The following is a 20,046-nucleotide window of genomic DNA, read 5'->3' on the forward strand; positions in this document are numbered from 1 at the left end:
GTGACGTGCCCGGGACACAGCCCGTTGTGCCCAAGGCCCTGGGGGAGCTTTGCCTACAAAGGGGGGCCAGGGGGCATGCAGCCCCTCCCCTGCTCCTGGGATGACGAGGCTGCCCTGCAACAAGAGGGATGTGGGTCAGAGCCGGGTGGACCTGTGTGTCCCTCTCGGTCAGCTGTGGCCGCTGGAGCACTCAGGAGCCTGCCCCAGCAGGGTCTGAGCAGAGCAGGGGCACTCGCAGCCCAGGGGAGGGATGCTGGCACCTGGTGGACAGCAGGCAGGGTGAGGCCGGAGTCCCTCTAAGCACCGAGGAAGCTCTCACACCCGTAATGACCCTGGCCAGTGAGCCCGCAGACCCCACGGACAGGGCCACCCCAGGGCCAGACCCCGAGGGCCCTGGAACCGTCACTGTCCCCGCGCAGATGTCCGCATGCACAAAGTCCACACAGGGCCCAGGTGGAGGGCTCAGAGCCCAGCCCCGGGGTTCTGGAAAAGTGTTTCTTCCAGTCCAGCCCAGAAGGAATGTTTTTATTTTCCTGCTAGAGGCCAGGCCAAATGGGCCCCCTTTCAAGATGCGCTGAGATTTCCCTCAGACAGGGAAGACTTGGCACCCACCCACAGTGACCGCTGGGCAGAGGCCAAGCCCGGCACCTCGGCGGATCTCACCTGCCCTGACCCGCGAGAGGAGGGAGGACGCGCGGCCGGTGCAGGTTCCCCCACAGGCACATACTCCTAGGCCTCCGGAAGGTTGACCGCAGGCTCGTGGCAGGGCCCTGAGGCCAAGGGTGGGCCAGGGATTTGGTTCTGAGCACTTCTCACTTGGCTCTCAGAAGAGGCTGTGGTGTCCAGGCAGAATGTTATAAAGCGACTTTCATACCCCCCGTCAAGGAGCTCGGGGGGCCTGGGAGCCTTCCCTGCCCAGGGTTTGCAGCTCCGCTCTTGCGTAGCCTCGCCCCACCCTCCCGCGCTCCTGTGTCCCCGAGGCTGTCAGGATGCCCTCCATCTGGCAGACTCCTACTCCTACTTCAATACCCGTCCCCCCACTGCCTGCCCAGCAGTCCCCGAGCCCTCCCTCATCCCCCGCCGTCCCCTCAGGGTGACTGCCCTGTGCTGTGGCCGGCCTGCTCCTGTCTGGTTTATTCGCCACGTGGCACGGCCCTCGGCAAAGCAGCTGGACTATCTCCCTCCTCTGCAAATCAGCCCCCAACTCCGGCCATTGCGGCCGTCACACCCAGAGTAACGCTGGCGTTCCAACCCCGGTCAGCAGAGCTCTGCAACCGGAGCCCCCCAGACTCACCCTGCCCGCTCTCCCACCTTGGACCGCTGCCTGCAGCCCCCTCCCTCCCGGTATCCAGGCCCCTGCCCCACGGCCCCCACCACCCTCCCTGCAGCCCAAGCGACACCACTCCCAGCACTCTCTGTGTCGGGTCCTGCTTCACGTCTCTTCCAAGCCCTCATGTCCTTCCAAAGCATCTCACGCCCCTAGAACGCCAGCCGGAGAGAGGACAGGGCGTGTCTGCGGCCCACGGCATCTCTCCAGCCCCGGGACCGGAGCTGATGCCTGGGAAACATGTATGGCTTAGGCCCCTGTGGCTCCGGCACTCCAGCAGAGCCTCCTCCAGAAGGCGGCCCCAAAAGAGCGACAAGTAGGAACTGAAAGGGCCACCACAAGTAAGCAGCACCACGAGTAAGCAGCAACGCTTCAAAATGTGGCACCGGCACTGTCCAAGACCCCAGCCAGGAGCCTCGCAGCGCAGGCCGGGTCTGTCCGAGACCCCAGCCAGGAGCCTCGCGGTACAGGCTGGGTCCCAGCTGACCCCACCCGATGACGGGGTGTGCACGGGGTCCTCCAGGGGTGCTGTTTTGCAGGGGTCCCTTTCCTAAAAGCATCCAGCAGCGACCCGTGGATTTTGAACAATGGGCCGTCCCCTGGTTCAGGCGTCGGCGGGGAGGAGGCGCGGGGCTCTGATGAGCCAGGAAAAGTTCCCAGGCCCAAGGGCAGCTTTGCAACGTGTTGTTTTGCAGTTGTTTCAACGTTGTGGACATTCATAAAATTAATTTGCTAAGAGAGGAGATAAATCCACTCTAGCATTCCCATAGCAACACCTCCCAGGCCGCTGCCGCCCCGTATAGGAGGAAGCTGGGGAATTTCGGTCTCGGGATTTTTACGGGGAACCGGCTCCCGGGGTCCAGCTGCCCCCAGGCTGTGGGGAGGTCTCCGGGAGGGGAACTCCAGGGGCCTGGAAAAGCAGGCGTGCGGCCCCAGATGGAGGAATGTGCGCAGGGAACCTGAGATGGTGCCCGGGCGGGCACCGCCCCACCCAGCCCCGGCCGAATGCCGCTCCACTTTCCCGTCCGCGGTGAGGTGACGGAACAGCTGGACCGTCCCCGCCTCCGGGAGCCCGCACAGCCCTGGCACACACTGCCGCCTCTCCGCTAGGCCCTGGACGCCACTCTCACTGGGGAGCGAGCCGGGTGTCCGCCGGAGGCAGGGCACAGAGATGACACTTCTGCTCCCATTGCCACAGGACCGAGGACTCTGTCCCCATTTAGAGCTCCTGGGGCCTGGGGCTGCCCCCCAACCTTTGGTAAGAGCCCCTAGAAATATCCAGCTCCCCTCACCCCGAGGCTGACGGCAGGTGCAGGCCTCACAAGGACGCAGGACGCCCAGGCCCTGGGGCTCAGGGCTCCCGCTGACGCACAGGGTGCGGTGGGTACCATAGCTCTCCATCTCCATGTCTGCAGCTCCCAAGGTTCACAACCCACAGGCCTGCGGAGGAGTGACCGCTCCAGTCTGCTGAGAATATTTTCCAACAGCTGTGGGGATCGGGTGTCTGAGGGGCTGGCAGCTCCCCACAGCTTCAGAGACAGCGGGCGTGACCCCGTGGGGTTGGGGACAAGGAAAAGCAGCCTCCACCCAGGAGGGGCCTGCTCCTGCAGAGAGACCCGCGGGGGTCTCGGGAGTTGGGGTTCCTGCAGCCTGGCCCTGCCTTCCCAGCTGCCTCCATGGCGCCCAGCTCAGCTCTGCAGTGGAGTTGCCCCCGAGGCCTGCAGGTATTCATGCCTCACAGGTGTGAGCAGGGGCTGTTTTCCACACCTGTGCGGGGCTGGGGTCCCCACACCTGAGGGAAATCAGCTCCCAAAACAATCACATCTTCGGGCGGAGTGGGAGCAAGGCACAGCAGGCTGCCATTGCAGACTGGGCCAGCCCTCACTGGCGTCCACCCTGGAGAGCCGAGGGGAGCAGGAGGCCCCAGGTGGAGGGTAGGCGGGAGGAGAGAAAGGTGAGGCGGGAGCTCCGTGGCCCTACAGGGATGAGGCCTCATGCACAGGGCATCTGCGACCCACCAAGGCCGTGATTTACAAAACAATGTGCTTTAGAAACTGCTGGAGGAAGAATGACAGTGAGCAGACAGGGCAGGACGCCGGCCCCAGGGAGAGCGAGGGACCGGCATCTCCTCCACGCGCTGCTTCAAGAAAAACAAACGGCGGCCACGAGGGCAGCCACTGAGCCTCCAGCGCCTGCCGAGAAGCCGCCCCACCGGCCGGGCCCCGCCGCACCTGTCTGATGCTGTCGGTGGCCGCCCTGGACGTGCGGTCCACAGCTGGAAACCGCAATAAGCTGCGAAGCGCGTCGGTTCCGAGCCTCTGATCCCTGCACCCCGGGGTCACACTGACTTACCAAATTTGGCTGATCACAGAGGAAAAGTGAAAAAGATCCAGGTTGCCAAGGAGACCCTTTCAAATACATTTTACAGCGCTATGAAAGCGATACCTTCCCTCGGGTTGAGTTTCGTCCCGGAGGACGTGCAAGGCGCTGTTTTATGTGAATCTGCACAGCCCCCCTCACCTCCCCTCCCGACCCCCACACACTCTGTCAGTGGTCAGGGCACCCTGCGCAGCGCTCTGCTCTCCCCACAGACACCAGCAGGCCCCTCCCCACATGCCCCTCCTCAGAGCCTTTCCGGGAAGCCTGTGCAGGAGCGCGTGGGGGCTCCTGCGGAGGGGCAGCCAGCATCTGACCCCAGCACCCCTCCTGGGGACTCTGCAGAGAGCCTGTAGAACCTCCGGGAAGCAGCTGTTCCCAACACAAAACCACACTGCCGGAGAGCCGGGTGAGCCCCCCAAGATCACGAAAATCAGCCGTAACGGCCTTCAGCAGATGTGCCACTGCGGGGCCTGGCTCCCACAGCCCGCAAAACACCCAAGAAGGTAAAATCCGAGTCGTCAACCAGGGAGTGGACAGAGGGTCAGAAAGCGGAAAACACTGGAAGTTGTGCTCGCAAGACTGGGATCGCGGAGTCGGGCACACCCATGGTGGAGGCACAGCTGGCAGAGCCTCCCAGCTGCGGGAGGCAGCGTCTGCCCCTCGCCGGTCCCCACACCTGTCCTCAGCCGATGACCCCGGCGTGGATGTGGAGGGCGTGGCTGGCAGAATCCCCCCGCCGGGGTGCGGTTGGGTCACACGCGGTGTGCGTGGGGGGCTCCCAGGACGCCCGGCACATACTCAACACTCAGAACACGCCGCGCGACTCGGTGATGCCATCTCCTCTGTTCAGGGGTGAGAACACCGCGCGTGCGGCCTTGATCTGCTCTCTGTGAAGACGCACCCACGATCCACGCCCCCCACACACATTTTCATGATTTTCCTACACGGGTCCTTGGGCTCAGCTGGGAGGGGCCTTGCTCTGCAGTGAATAATGGGTGATTGTCTGAATCAGCCACAGCTACCCATTCTCTCAGTTTCAAGACCATTAAAGCCGAGGCTGCCAACTCAGAAGCCCCCGAGTGCCTGCAGAGACGGCTGAGAAGCCGAGAGCAGGGCAGGGCAGGGGCTGAGAAAGCTGGGAAGCCTTTCACACCAGAAGGGGCATCTGCCTCTCAGCTCCAGCTGGGTAGGGCCAGACAGGGCTGCAGGTCCAGTGTGGCCGGATGTCAGATTTTTAAAGAGAATTAACAGATCCAGATTTTTTTTTTTTTTTGAGACAGGCTCTTGCTCTGTGGCCCAGGCTGGAGTACAATGGCGTGATCTCAGCTCACTGCAATCTCTGCCTCCTGGGTTCAAGTGATTCTTATGCCTCAGCCTCCCAGTAGCCGGGATTACAGGCACCTGCTACCACACCCGGCTAATTTTTGTATTTTTAGTAGAGATGGGGTTTCACCATGTTGGCCAGGCTGATCTTGAAGTCCTGACCTCAAGTGATCCATCTGCCTCAGCCTCCCAAAGTGCTGGGATTATAGGCGTGAGCCACCACGCCTGGCCAGCGACCCAGATTTTTATGTGAAATCTCCTGACTATAAAATATCAACAAGTAATCCAAATGTTTAAAAAAACACTGCACAGGCCAACACAAATTTGTCTCTGGGCCAGATTGAGCCTGTAAGCACCAGTTTCTTGTCAATGGTTGTAAAACCTAGAGCAACTAAAGATATCTGCCTTTCCACCTGTCACCGCAGTCGTCCTGCTGGCGGTGGAGCGGCCGGGAGAGCCACCGCCATTGCTCTGTTGTCTAGGCAAGGAAGGGCTCTACTGACGTACTAATTTCAGTAGCGAGAACTGGTGATAACTGAGAAGCCATTCCTGAAGTCAGCGACTTAAACCACAATTTGTTGTTACCCTTCACAGTTCGGGGGTTGGAGGGGCTCAGCCGGGCGGTTCTCACTCGGGGTCTCCCCTGGGGTTGCATCCAGATGGAGGCAGGGGTGACCTCATCGGAAGACCCAGCTGGCGGGACGTCCAAGATGGCACAGTCATATGGCAGCTGTTGACACTGGGCATTCACGGCTGTGCTGGCTGAGGCTGGGGCTGCGCTGGCTGGGTATGCGTCTCAGAGCACAGCTGCTGGGCCCCAAGAAGAGCATCCCGGGAGCAGGGCTCCCAGAGGCTGTGGTGGAAGCTGTAAGGCTTTGGAGCACCCAGTCTTGGGTAACCTACGACATCATTCCACTGCATTCTGTCTGTCAAGTGTGTACCTAAGCCAGCCCAGCATCAAGGGGAGGGGGTTAGACTCCCCTTTTCCACAGGAAAGACAGCCAAGAATTTGAAGCCATCTTTTTTTGTTTTTGGTTTTGGTTTTGGTTTTGAGACAGGGTCTCTCTCTGTTGCCCAGGCTGGAGTGCAATGGCGCAATCATAGCTCACTGTAGCCTTGAACTCCTGAGCTCAAGCGATCCTCCCGCCTCCGCCTCCCAAGTAGCTGGGACTACAGGCGTGCACCACCACACCCAGCTAATTTTTTCACCTGTCTTATGGTGCTGATAATTTTTAAATTTTTAGTAGAGATGGGGTCTCACTATGTTGCCCAGGCTGGTCTTGAATGCCTGGGCTCGAGTGATCCTCTTCCTACCTTGGCCTCCCAAAGTGCTGGGATTACAGCATGAGCCACCGTGCCCAACAGCCGCCTTTAATACACCAGATTTCAGCTGTCGGTTTGCAATCCTCTCCTCTGCTCACGGGCGAACATGACGCTGGCATCCTCTCCTCTGCTCATGGGCAAATGTGCACGCTGGCATCCTCTGCTCTGCACATGGGTGGGTGTGCATGCTGGCATCCTCTCCTCTGCACACGGGCAAATGTGCACACAGGCATCCTCTCCTCTGCACACAGGTGGGCGTGCACGCTGGCATAGTCTCCTCTGCACACGGGCGGGCGTGCACGCTGGCATCCTCTCCTCTGCAGACGGGCGGGCGTGCACGCTGGCATCCTCTCCTCTGCACATGGGCAGGCGTGCACGCTGGCATCCTCTCCTCTGCACACGGGCGGGTGTGCACGCTGGAATCACGGCTGGGGTCACTCCCCTCTCGGGGCCCGCCAGAGCCTCCTTCAACGCTGGCCAGAATAATCACTTGGGCTGCCTGTGGTTTCATCCTTTCCCTCCTCCTTCTCTCCTTTTAAAGAAGCATCACTGTTGAACGAGTCCTCTACTCTACCGACCGGAAATACTGCCTGATAACGGCTCCCCCGCAAGGACCCCCTTCGTGAATGTCCGTGCAGCCTGCTGTACTTTTAGGTTGGAGACAAGCATCATTCCTTCATGCATTCATTAATTCATTCACACAATGAGCATTCTGGGACGTGGAGACGGAAGTGACTCAGGTCCGGGAACCCCAAATCCACCGTGTGGAGCTCCGTGAAGCTGGCTGCCCTGTCGAGACCTGCCTTGGTGCTTCTTCCAGGTCAGCAGAAATCTCCCGGCATCTCGGATGCCCCAGCCGGCCTGGTGCCCTCTGGCCTCTGCTGTTTCTCCTGCTCTACCCCAGCCTTCCAGATCTTTCCTTATGGTAGAGCCGCAGTGGGAAGCACCGGGAATGAGGGGCGGGAGAGGCCCTGAATGTGCCCCTCAGGGAAGGGTAGTGAGGATTTGCAGGTGCAGGGGCCCGAGCCTGGGTCTCCAGCGAAACACACACTTCCTTCCCGCAGGCTCTTACTCCAGCCTCCTGCTTTTCGGCCTGTGTTCCAGCGGTGGTGAGCATCTTCCAACGCCATCAGCGGCCTCGTCCAACGCCATCAGCGGCCTCATCCAACTCCATCAGTCGCCTCACCCAACGCCATCAGCGGCCCCGTCCAACTCCATCAGTCACCTCACCCAATGCCATCAGCGGCCTCATCCAACTCCATCAACGGCCTCGTCCAACGCCATCAGCGGCCCCGTCCAACTCCATCAGCGGCCCCAGCCGCATTGCTGGGCTTCTGTTGTTTCGAACCAAGACACTGGCTCCCGAATTTGCCGAAGTTGCCAAACATCCACTGGGACTTGAGCTCTTTGCTGACCTCCTGTTTCTTTCCAGCAGCCCCCAGGGCAGAGAGGTGCCCTCCTTCTGGACCCAAAATGATCCTCGTCACTGCCCACAGCTGCGGGTGTTTCGGCGAGGACGGGACCTTAAACTCCGCCACCCTGACGCACGCATTTCCCGATGACAGGTACAGAGTTGGGGCGTGTGCTTAGGGAGCATGCAAGCGTGAGATCCTGCTCACCCTTGAGGGCCGGAGACATGGGGAACATGTCAGACACACGGGAGCATACGTGTAGCTCTGCAGAGCCGGGCAGGTCACCACACAGCCTGGACAGGTCACTCATTCCTGCCCGGGGCCACCTGGGGAGGGGGTTCCTCTCAGGGAGGCCCCAGGCAGAGCCTCCGGACGACGGACGCACTGCCGGCCCTGGGGTTCCGGCCCAGTTCCTGCAGCATGAATCCGAAGGGAGGGGGCTTCAGATCGCCGGGCAGGCCACAGTTCAAACAACCATGGGGCACAGGTGATGCATGTGGGCCCCAAAGTGGGGCTTAGCCCACGAGGGTTCTTGACTTTGCCCAGGACAGGATTCAAGGGCCAGCAGGAGGTGGAATGAACAGCTTTACTGAGGTGGCAGTGTTTGGTGTTACAGCTCGGAGCCGCTCCCGCTAGGCAGTGCGCTGAGGGTAGCAGCTCAGGGCGCTTTTGCAGTCCCATTTATACCCACTTTAAATTATGTGCACATTAAGGGGTGGGTTATACACAGCTCTCTGGTTAAGGGTGGTAATTTTCCGGGTCATCAGACCACATTGCCATGGAAAGGGGCGGGAGCGCCCGGGTGTTGTCATGGCAACGGTAAACTGACAATGGTGCACGGGTGGGCGTGGCTTACGGAGAGTGGCTTGCACCCTGGCCCTGTTTTAGCCAGTCCTCAATTAGGTCCAGTGTCCCAGCCCCACCTCTGGAGTCGAGTCCCACCTGCTAACTCTCAGGCACGGAGTCCCTCGCCGGCACCCGGAATGGGAGTTCACACGCGAATTCCTGCCGTGTCCTCAGGACAGCTGCTCGGCCCACCCAACAGTCTGCGTGCGGCCACCACGGACTGCGGCCCCAGCACATCCCGGGAGCTCCACGGAGCCACCTGTCGCCTGCCTGTGGTGGGGCCGTGGCGTGAGACGGCAAAAATGACTCACACACACATCCAGATAGAGAAGCTGCCACCGTCTTTTTAAAATTAAACTTTTAATTTTGCCATCATCGTACATTTGAGTGCGGTTGTTAGAAATAATATAGAGAGATCCTGCGTACCCTGAATGTATGCGATGTCCCCAACAGTGACCTGCTGTGTACACACAGTGCCACGCCATGGCCGGGATGCGGACGCGGTGCCATCCCCCACCCCACTCCCTCCTCAGCTCTACCCACCCTCGCACGCCCTGTGTGCAGGTTTTGTGCAGGTTTTTTATTTTACTTTTTTTTTTTTTTTTTGAGACGGAATCTCACTCTGTTGTCCATGCTGGAGTGCAATGGTGTGATCTTGGCTCACTGCAACCTCCATCTCCCGGGTTCAAGCGATTCTCCTGCTTCAGCCTCCCAAGTAGCTGGGATTACAGGCATGTGCCACCACACCCGGCAAATTTTTGTATTTTTAGTAGAGACGGGGTTTCACCATGTTGGCCAGGCTGGTCTCGAACTCCTGACCTCAGGTGATCCACCCGCCTCAGCCTCCCACAGTGCTGGGATGACAGGCGTGAGCCGCCGCGCCCGGCCAGTTTCATGCAGTTTTATCACACGTGCAGCTCAGGCACCAGCCACCTACCTTTCTAAGAAGGGAGGCTTTTGATGCTAGAGGGCAGGAGGAATCTCAGTGGCAGGAATGTGAGGCCACAGACCACCCACCCCATGGAGGCCCCGGACGGGCGTGCGGTCACAGGGCAGCACTGACTCCAGAGGGAGGGTGAGGCGGGCAGTGGAAGAGGAGAAGGTAAGAAGTGCCCCTGCCCCAGTGCACACCCAGAGCGCCCACGTGGGAAGCACGTCTCACCTCCGTGATGATGTAAAAGTCGTCCCCAGGCTCTCCCTGGACCACAATTTTCTCTCCATCTTCAAACTGGACGGGCTCCAGCGCATCCGCCACGGTCAGACGCTCCCACTTCTCCAGGGACTCTGTCGGGGGAGGATGAGGACAGGTCATCCCGGGGCCCACGCCCCCACAGCCACAGTCCAAGACAAGGGCCACCGCTCTTCCCGAAAGGTGTCCTCAGAAGCAATCACAACACCAGCTCCGTGACCAGTAAGCTGCATAAGATGAGGCCGTGACGCTGTCCCCCAGCACCTCTGTGCCAGGGGGCCTGGGTTTTCTTGCAGTCAGTGGGTCCCAGACGCATGCAGCTCATGTGCCCTCTTCACCAGTTGCGGAGGGAGCTATTCTGACACTTATCCCTGGCTTAATGTAAATACCCAGCAGTGAAAACTGACTCCAGGTTAACTCAGTATGAAAATACTTTTGTTACTTCAAAAGAATAGAGCTGCTTACATTTTTGCAAACAATGGAGTCCCAGCTAAGCACAAAGCCTACTAAGTGGTTTAAAATAACTCAGAAGCCAGGCACAGTGGGCTCACGCCTATAAATCCCAAGACTTTGGGAGGCTGAGGCAGGAGGATCGCTTGAGGCCAGGAGTTCAAGACCAGCCAGGCCGACATAATGAGACCCCATCTCTACAAAAAATGTTTTAAATCAGCCAGGCATGCTGGTGTGTACCTGTAGTCTCAGCTACTCAGGATGCTAAGGCGGGAGGATCGCTTGAGGCCAGAGTTCAAGACCAGCCTGGGCAACACAGTGAGATCTCGTCTCTACAAAAATTAAAAAATTAGCCAGGCGTGGTGGTGTACACCTGTGGTCCCAGCTCCTCAGGAGGATGAGGCAAAAGGATCACTTGAGCGCGGGAGGTCGCGGCTGCAGTGAGCTATGATCACGTCACTGCACTCCAGCTTGGGAGACAGAGCAACACCCTGTCTCAAAAAAAAAAAAAAAAGAAAAAAGAAAAAAACAGAAAAACTGGCCGGGTGCAGTGGCTCAAGCCTGTAATCCCAGCACTTTGGGAGGCTGAGGTGGGTGGATTGCCTGAGCTCAGGAGTTCGAGACCAGCCTGGTCAACATGGCAAAACCCCATCTCTACTAAAATACAAAAAAAATAATAATAATACATGAATAACAAAATAATTCAGAATGGTAACTGCCCATCGAAAAGAAACACTGTTCATCAGGGGACTGATCAAACAACATGGAACTGCATTTATGTTGCAACATTAAGGCACAGTATACGTTCTACTATTTTAGGTCAAAATGCTTACTTCCCATGCCAAGTTTATCTTTAAATGCTTGCAAACTCAATGTTATCTTTCCGCCCTTCTCACAAGGTCTTCCCTTCCCTGTCTTTATTCATCCCTAACCCTTGGAAGGAAAAAAAATTTACTAACGTCAGATTTTATAAGAAAATAATGATCACCTGATTAACGATTTCTTTTTTGACAAAAAAAAAAAAAAAAAAACAAACGTTTCCTGGCCTATACAAATCAGATGCTACCTATGTAGGTCAGAAGCTAAAAATAAAAAGCAAAGCATTTATTTTACATCTAGGTTAGGAGGGAGATTTCTCTCCTTAAAAATCCCTGTCGGCGCCGTAGGTTGCAAAGGAAAATGCTTCCCACGAACCCCAGGGCCGGGCAGATTCTGCAGCATAGGGAAGGGGGGCGAGGACCCCACAACCAGAGCTGTTTGACCAGCTTCCTAAAAACAGGGTCCGTACCAGCTGGGCGCGGTGGCTCACGCCTGTAATCCCAGCACTTTGGGAGGCCGAGGCGGGCGGATCACGAGGTCAGGAGATCGAGACCATCCTGGCTAACACGGTGAAACGCCGTCTCTACTAAAAATACAAAAAATTAGCCGGGTGTGGTGGCGGGCGCCTGTAGTCCCAGCTACTCCGGAGGCTGAGGCAGGAGAATGGCGTGAACCCGGGAGGCGGAGCTTGCAGTGAGCCGAGATAGCACCACTGACCTCCAGCCTGGGCAACAGAGCAACACTCTGTCTCAAAAAAAAAAAAAAAAAAAAAAAGTCTGTACCAGACAGAAGCTGCTGAATAATTCAGAACCCAGGCGTGCTCCCAAGCAGGCCAACACATCAGTGCACACCTGACAATTAAATGATGCAGGTGATTTTTTAGAGCAATTATGGTTTGTGTTCAGGGTGCAGAATGAGACCAGCATATGAATTTGGAGTGTTTTCTTTACTGGTTTCCTTACAAGGACAGTAATACGAGGCATCTCATTTCAGAAGTCAGCTGCAGTTAGGAAGTTCATTTCCACATATTTGATTAGCAAATGCTTACTCTATTACATTTGAAACCTGTAGTATTCTGAGTTCTAAAAACAAAAATTATCTCCTGGCTACATTAATCTTGGATGAAAACTGACAGAAGAAACCACAGGGAGATGGCACTTTTGGCCCCATTTTTTTTTTCAAGAGACAGGGTCTCGCTCTGTCACCCAGCCTGGAGTGCAGTGGCGTGATCACGGCTCACCACAGCCTTGAACTCCTGGGCTCAAGCGATCCTCCCACCTCGGCCTCCCAAAGTGCTGGAATTACAGACATGAGCCACCACACCCGGCTAACTTTTTAAAAATTTTTTGGAGAGACAGGAACTCGCTATGTTATCGAGGCTGGTCTGGAGTTCATGGCCTCAAGTGATCCTCCCACCTCAGCCTCCCAAGTAGCTGGGACTGCAGGCATGTACCATCATGTCCAGCTAATTTTTTATTTTGCACAGATGGGATCCATCCCCATTCACCATGTAAACTGCAGAATAAACGCAGTCACGTGTCCCAAAAAGCACCTGACAAGGGCAGCCTGCAGCCACAGGACGAGACGTCGTAAGGCTGCGTGCACCTGCCCAGGGGGGAACCCATCGTCAAGCTCTGTGCTGGAATTCTGCAGACTTGCAGCTCCCATGTGGGCCATGCTGATTCTACGGGGTCTCCTGTCCTAGGGGCCGAGCCCTGCGCGTTCAGGAGAAAGCGGGGTCCCAGGAGCATCCAGGCACAAAAGCCGTTCCCAGGTTTCTGGTGTGGGGACAGAAATGCCGAAGCCCACGGCTTCAGGCTCATCCAGGGCCATCCCTCCGGCCAAGCTGCCTGCGGAGACACCGCCCCGCCAGCCACTTTTTGGAGGACTTTGTGCCGATGCTGACTGGGCAGGAAAAGGGAATCGTGCCTTGTGGTTACTCTTCTGGGAGGCCACGGAGAAGCCGGTCACATTGCTGGCTGCTGCATTAATCAGAGGAACATAAATGGGCGGACGGAGGCCACGCGGCCAGGGCGTGCGACGGCCCCTAAGAGCCCGGGACGCAGGAAGCAAGAAGCCACCTCCAGCCGGGGGGTCACCAGCCCTCGCCCGGAGCAGGGAGAGGGTCTCGCCCTTCATGGCCTGCAGCAACCGTTGTCTCGACAGCGCTGGTGAATGAAGGAGTCTGTGGGCACAGGGCTGACTATGCAGTGCCTGGTGGGCACCAGGGGCCGGACCACCCAGGTCTGGCTGAAAGGCAGCGGGACGCCCAGACGGGCGGCAGAGGCCCTGCGTTTGGGATTTTGCAGAGGGAGCAAATGTCCCCCTCTCGGCCCCTATAAAATCTGGCGGACCAACTCGTTTTGTGTTTCCAAGTATGACATTTTCAAAATGGCACTAGAATTAAAACCAGACACAAAGCCACACAGGTGATTCCATTCCCACGAAACGTCCCGAGCAGGCAAATAATCCACAGAGACCAGGAGGGTCCGGGGGCTGCCAGGGCCGGGAGGGCAGGGGGGGTGACGGCTCACAGGGACGGGGCTCTGTCTCGGGTGAGGACGGGGCTCTGGGATGGGAGCGGTGCCGACAACGTCGTGTGTAGACTCAACGGCCCTGAAATGCGCTTCCGGGAAAGGTCAAAACGGTCGGCGTGCTGTGACGTGCATTTTACCACAATGGAAAGACCCGCACGCTCCTTTCTCGACATTTCACAGAAGGATTTCAGAGAGAACAGGGGTCAAAGTCCTCCCCAAGAAGGAACACAGGCACAGCCACACTGCATACACACACGTGCACACACACAGGCGCACACACCCACTCACACATGTGCACACTCACACCCCCCACACGTGTGCACACCCACGCACACACGCACACACCCACAGTGCACACTCACACCCACTCACACACGTGCACTCACACCCACGCACACACGTGTGTGCACACCCATACACACCCACACACGCGTGCACACACCCACTCACACACGTGCCAAACACATGCGTGCACACCCATGCACACACACTTGCACACTCCCAGGTGCACACACACCCCCTCACACGTGCACACTCAAACCCCCACACTCACATGCATGCACACCCATGCGCACACACCCACACACAACCCACACGGTGCACTCACACCCTCACACACGTGCAATTCACACGCATTCTACACACATGCACACACCCATGCATGTGCACTCGCACCCATGCACACTCACGTGTACACCCATGTGCACTCACATGCACACTCATGCACACACACGCACACACACCCCCATGTGCACACTCACCCCCACACACCTGCACGGTTCTGCCTGCTCTAGCCCAAGGAGCCCCCACTGGCCCAGCTGGCGCCATCGCGTATAACTCAGGCTTCAGCAGCGTCTTTCCTGCCAGGCCGTTAAGCAGGCTCACCCGAAGGTGAAAGGGCCCTGGGCACACCTGAAACCCCAGCCTGCCGTTATCCTTCCCGGAACTGAGAGCAATGATGGCGGCGTAGAAAGGGCAGAGGCGGCTCCCAGAGAAACTGCGCTTAGAAGGGAACTAGCACAGGTCAGGGAAAGCAGCTCGACCCAGCTCACACGTGTACCGGGAGCCAACACTGGCTTTCAGCTCTACACGGACTGGTGTGGAGGGAAGGCTGGGGGCGCGGCTCTGACAGCAAAGGGAGAAGCAGACAGGAAACGCACAGGATGGCAGAGACGTTGAGAAGCAGGGCAGCCCCGCCCACGAGAGAGGAGGCAGGCTCTTGGGGTTTGCCAACAAGTGACAGTGTGTGTCATCTGTGCACGTGTCTGTGCGTGAGCATGCCTGTGTGTTGCACCCCAAACCTCCATAATACCAACAACACTCAACTGCCAGCCACGCAGGGAATGGGGAAGAGGCCGGGGTGGCCAGCAGGCGCCCAGATGTCGGGACACACAGCCGTGCAGGGGCGCAGCCACTGACCTAGGATGGAGACCTTGCTGAGGAACTCCTCGTACATCTTGCGTTTCCTCAGCGTGCTGCCCTGTTCGGGAGAAAGTAAAAAACAGACAAGAAGGTGAATCTTCATACCTGGATCATCCTGACGTTTCCAGATTTCCCCAAATGACTCTCAACTTTTAAATGAGACCCTCCAAGCATTCCAAGTCCCCAAAGCCCTCGACGACTCGGAGTCTGCGTGAGCTGCCACGGTGTCCTATGCCCCCCACCTCCCTCCTCCCGGGGGGCTTCTGGAGAAGCTCCCGGCATGGTTGCTAAGTGTCCTGGCTGGCAGCAGAGTTCCCCACCCAGCCAGGACCCGTGGTAGTTCCACACGGTGAGCGCACAGCCAGCCAGAGCCTGAACCCGGGTTTCTAGCCATGAAGGGCAGGGAGCTCATAAACACATCTGGAGAAACTGAGGCCAACACAGAGACTCAAGCACATGACGTAGAAGGGAGAGTGCGGCTGACGTCAGCTAAGACCCTGGATCCAGCCGTGCCTGAAGCTGCCTCGTTACCCATTAAAAGCCGATACTTGACTTCCCTCAACCCTGGGAAAAGCATGCTGAATCATACAATACCAACAAACACGGCCCTGTCAGCGTTATGTGAATTAGAAATTAGAATTCATTCTAGAAACTAGGATTATAAATGTGAATTAGAAAAACACACCCCTTCTTTAAGCACACACATCCCATCAAGCTGATGGGCCCTGGTGCAAACAGGAACGAGGCCCCTGCTCTAGGCAGTCAGCTCCAGCCTGGTGTGCAGAAAGCAGCCTGGGTCTCAGCCCCTCTCAACCCTCTGCCTGGGCCTTTGTACAGTGCACGAACTCCACAACTGTACAGAGCAGCCGCACGGTGGGTACGATTCAGCACTGCACATTCCAAAAACAGAGACACAGAGTCCACCCGGACAGCAGCAAGCTCGACTTTGCTAAAATTCAAATGGTATCATCCACTGACAGAGGCCACGCGTTCGAGTAGGGTGTACGCCGGGATGTGAGTCAGACCGAGAGACGACATGCTAGTGATGAGGTTTTTCCGTGACCCTAGATAAGTCCCCTGGGGTGTGGAGAAAGGAGGGAGGAGGGAACTTGCTGTGTTGAACGCCCACTCCAGGTCAGGGAGGGGGGCTCTTGGACACACTGACCCACATCGACCTCGCAACAGATAACCCTGAGAGGGGAACATACTTTTATCCTTATTTTCCAGAGGCAGAAACTGCAGCTCCGCAGGGCTGAGTGACCACCCTAGATAGGAACCACGGAACCAAGAAGGAAAGCCTAGACTGGGCCCTAAAAGCCCCAAAGCTGCCCCCGCCTCTCAACTTGAATGGGGACGTATTTTACCCCTTCCTGACATGCTGTTTTGCAAATTCCCGTAATGCCCTGAGACAGAAAACCACAGTGAGCAGCATTTACCAGGTGCCTCCCACCTGTGCAACTGACCAAGTGCTGACCAGGGGCACGCAGACACAGTGGCATGTGCAGTTTCTGAACATGTCCCTCCCCTCTCCTCCTTCCTGCTGACTGGCATGTGGAGATGATGGCTGGGGCTGCAGCAGCCATCCTGGGCCCCTGAGGAGCATCAGTAAGAGAAAGCTGGTTCTCGGGCCCCATGGAACAACACACCCACCCTAGACAGACTCCCAGAGCGTGAGAAACAGCCGTGTGGTTTAAGACACTGTTATTTTGAGTATTTCTGTTACACCTGGCATGGAGGCAGCCGGCCCCCAATGATCCTCACTCGCCTCCTGGTGTCCACACCCTGTGTGCTCTGTCCCACGATGAATAGGGCTGACGGATGCAACTAAGACCACGATGAATAGGGCTGACGGATCCAACTAGAGAATGCTAAGGAAATGAGTCTGAGATTTGCAAAGCCAGGTTGTAAAAGATACTGTGGCTCCTGCCCTGCTCTCTCCTGGATCGCTCAGCTGCAGAGAAGCTCAGAGGAGGAGCAGCACCTTCCTGCCACCCTCCAGCCCTGTTGGGGGGAAGCCACCACAGAAATCTCCTCTGCCCCATAAGACCTTCTGATCCCCCCAGCCCGAGGAGGGTTCCAGGCCAGAGCCGAGCAGCTGCTTCCTCCATGACCCACAGGAAATGGAACAAATGTAACACTGTTGACAGAGGCCACTAAGTTTGAGGGGAATTTGTTACACAGCCACAGCTAACTAATACATCCAGCAAAATTTAATCCTAAGGGTAAGGATAGGCTAGGAAACCTAGGTTAAGATAGAAAACTATAAACTCTTCTGAGTCCTGCAGGCGGCTGGCATAACACCCTGCTGCCAGGGACCCTCCCAGCTGCCACAACGCCTGGGGGCAATGGTGAAGGAGGGTCATTTATCCCACCTTCTTTTTTTTTTTTTTTTTGAGACAGTCTCACTCTGTTGCCCAGGCTGGAGTGTAGTGGTGCGATCTCGGCTCACTGCAAGCTCCAACTCCCGGGTTCACGCCATTCTCCTGCCTCAGCCTCCGGAGTAGCTGGGACTACAGGCGCCCGCCACCATGCCCAGCTAATGTTTTTTGTATTTTTAGTAGAAACGGGGTTTCACTGTGTTAACCAGGAATTTATCCCACCTTCTAAGCAACGTATGTAGGAAGGAGATGTCAGGAAAGAGAGATGGACTGGACAGGAGAAGCAAGACCCCTGACACTCAGAGGAGCCCCCCAAATGCCTGTCAGTCTCCCCAAACTTTCTTCTCCTGAGGGGTGCTGTTCAAAGCATCTTCCCATCCACTCCAATCACTCACAGGAATGGAGATCGCAATCAGGCACCACTTGGTGTTTACTGAGTGCCCTGGACAGGGGTGGGGGCTGTGCTCAGGGCTGTGCCCATCACATTGTCACAACTCAGAGGGCCGAGGAGGAGGAGAAAGTGGAGGTGAGTGCTTCGGAGGTGTGTGTCTGAAGTTACCCACTGCCGTGGTGAAGTGGGGGTCTGCCCTGGCCCCGCCTCCAGGGCCTGCGCCTACCCACTGCCCCCTCTCCTATCTCTCAATGCCACCCACAGCCAGATGCAAACTTACTTGTGTCTCCCTTAAAAAGGGACTCCTTGAGCACACCAAAGGTGGCCCCATCACATGGGAAAATGAGGGACCACCACACAGCCCCTTCCACAGTTGGGGGTGGGAAAGAGCAGCCCTGGGGACACCGAGTGAGCATAGGGGAGGCAGTCCGCAGCCCTCCTGTGCAGCCCTCCTGGCTGGGATGGAGCGGGACTCCAGCTGCTGGGGCAGGAGGCCCTGCAGGAGTGGAGCAGAGGATGAAGGAAGGGAGATGGATTGCTGTGGAAGGAAAACAGCTCAAGGGGGAAGGGCTGGAGGAAAGGCACGTGATGTTAAACGCCTGTCCCTGGAAAACTATGACAAAAATGCAAGCTCCAGTGAAATGGGGGAGGAATGGCGCGCAAGTCCCCGAGGCACAGCAGTGACTTGTGTGGGGCTCAGGCCGGGTTGTTTCCACAGTTGCTTATTCTGGGCCCTGGTGGCCAGGCTGACCTTTCCCATGGGCACAGGCCATTTCCGGTAGCGTGGCCCTCCCCACTCGCTCCCAAGCCGCCCTCAGTGTCCAGAAACAGACTCCTGGAGCTGCACCAAGCTTCCCACTCACAGATCAGACGACTGAGCCCAGCGAAGGTGTGGCTTGAGCCCAACTTCCATGATGGGGACAAGGACCCTAAGGACACCCACCCTCCCCTGCCTTCCAGAGCCTCAGCATGGAGGACACAGTGGGCAGTCCACTCAACGTGGACAAGTACAGGTTTGAATGTGTCACCTGCATCATTGGGCTTTGGTGAAATGAGACCATAAAAATCCCTGCCTCACTGGGTCATTATGAGAACTGATTCTCAACAAATGTTATGTTGCTGCTAATGGTGATGGTGGTGATGTTGGTGAGGATAGTGACAGTGGTGATGGTGATGGTGATGGTGGTGATGGTGATGGTGGTGATGGTGGTGAGGATAGTGACAGTGGTGATCACGATGATGGTGGTGACGGTGGTGATGGTGGTGACGGTGGTGATGGTGGTGATGTTGGTGAGGATAGTGACAGTGGTGATGACGGTGGTGATGGTGATGGTGGTGATGGTGATGGTGGTGATGGTGATGGTGGTGATGGTGGTGAGGATAGTGACAGTGGTGATGACGATGATGGTGATGGTGGTGATGGTGATGGTGATGGTGGTGATGGTGGTGAGGATAGTGACAGTGGTGATGGTGATGGTGATGGTGGTGATGGTGATGGTGGTGATGGTGGTGAGGATAGTGACAGTGGTGATCACGATGATGGTGGTGATGGTGGTGATGGTAATGGTGGTGATGGTGATGGTGGTGATGTTGGTGAGGATAGTGACAGTGGTGGTGATGGTGACGGTGGTGATGGTGATGGTGGGGATAGAGATGGTGGTGATGGTGGTGATGGTGGTGAGGATAGTGACAGTGGTGATGACGATGTGATGGTGATGATGGTGACGATAGTGGTAGTGATGATTATAGTGCTGATGATGGTAGTGATGGTGGCAATGATGATGGTGGTAGTGGTTTTTACCGGGTACACAAAAGTGTGCTGACGGGGAAAGTCAGGACATTGCAATTCCAACCCCAGCCTACCCATGACTCCCCATGCCCTTGGACTAGTCTTGTCCCCTCTGGTCTTCGGTTTCTCCATGAGAAGAGTGATTGAAATGAGCAGCTGTTCCGTGTGTCTCTGGCCTGGGCTCCTTCTCTGTCCTCCCAAATTCCTCACCACCGCTCCACGGGTGCCATGTCCACCTTGGTCCTTGTCTGCTTCCCATTGACTAGCAGGGGTATGTCAGGTGCCTGAGCTCAGAAATGGGGTCAGACACCCCTGCAAACAGCTGCTGACCCAGCCCTCGTCCTCAGCAGCCCCCACCACTGCCAAGATTCCTCCTCCTCCCAGAAGGTGATGACGATAAGCACGGCTCACTATGCTGAATGCTCCCCAGCAATCAGGCACCTCCCGAGATCCACACTTTC

The 20,046-nt window shown here is 57.0% G+C and overlaps 1 protein-coding gene across 11 annotated transcripts in view, besides 2 other annotated features; it reads right to left on the reverse strand.

Annotated features, from left to right (window-relative positions):
* PRKAR1B (protein kinase cAMP-dependent type I regulatory subunit beta) overlaps positions 1-20,046 on the reverse strand; it is a 179,738-nt gene that overhangs the window by 20,287 nt on the left and 139,405 nt on the right. For all 11 annotated transcript variants that reach the window (XM_047420607.1, NM_001164759.1, XM_047420608.1 and 8 more), the window contains 2 exons: positions 15,025-15,085; positions 9,773-9,894 (listed from right to left, as the gene is read on the reverse strand). In XM_047420607.1, coding sequence (XP_047276563.1) covers positions 9,773-9,894; positions 15,025-15,085 — 183 coding nt within the window. The remainder of the gene's footprint in view (positions 1-9,772; positions 9,895-15,024; positions 15,086-20,046) is intronic.
* Positions 2,633-3,401: an enhancer, noted in NCBI's record as "H3K27ac-H3K4me1 hESC enhancer chr7:611753-612521 (GRCh37/hg19 assembly coordinates)". NCBI's record gives its function as "activates a minimal SCP1, AML or CMV promoter by ChIP-STARR-seq in primed H9 embryonic stem cells {active_cell/tissue: H9 hESC(primed)}" and the evidence as "EXISTENCE:reporter gene assay evidence [ECO:0000049][PMID:30033119]".
* Positions 3,402-4,171: an enhancer, noted in NCBI's record as "H3K27ac-H3K4me1 hESC enhancer chr7:612522-613291 (GRCh37/hg19 assembly coordinates)". NCBI's record gives its function as "activates a minimal SCP1, AML or CMV promoter by ChIP-STARR-seq in naive H9 embryonic stem cells {active_cell/tissue: H9 hESC(naive)}" and the evidence as "EXISTENCE:reporter gene assay evidence [ECO:0000049][PMID:30033119]".

This window comes from Homo sapiens, chromosome 7 (genome assembly GCF_000001405.40).
Source record: "Homo sapiens chromosome 7, GRCh38.p14 Primary Assembly".
Classification (NCBI taxonomy): Eukaryota; Metazoa; Chordata; class Mammalia; order Primates; family Hominidae; genus Homo; species Homo sapiens.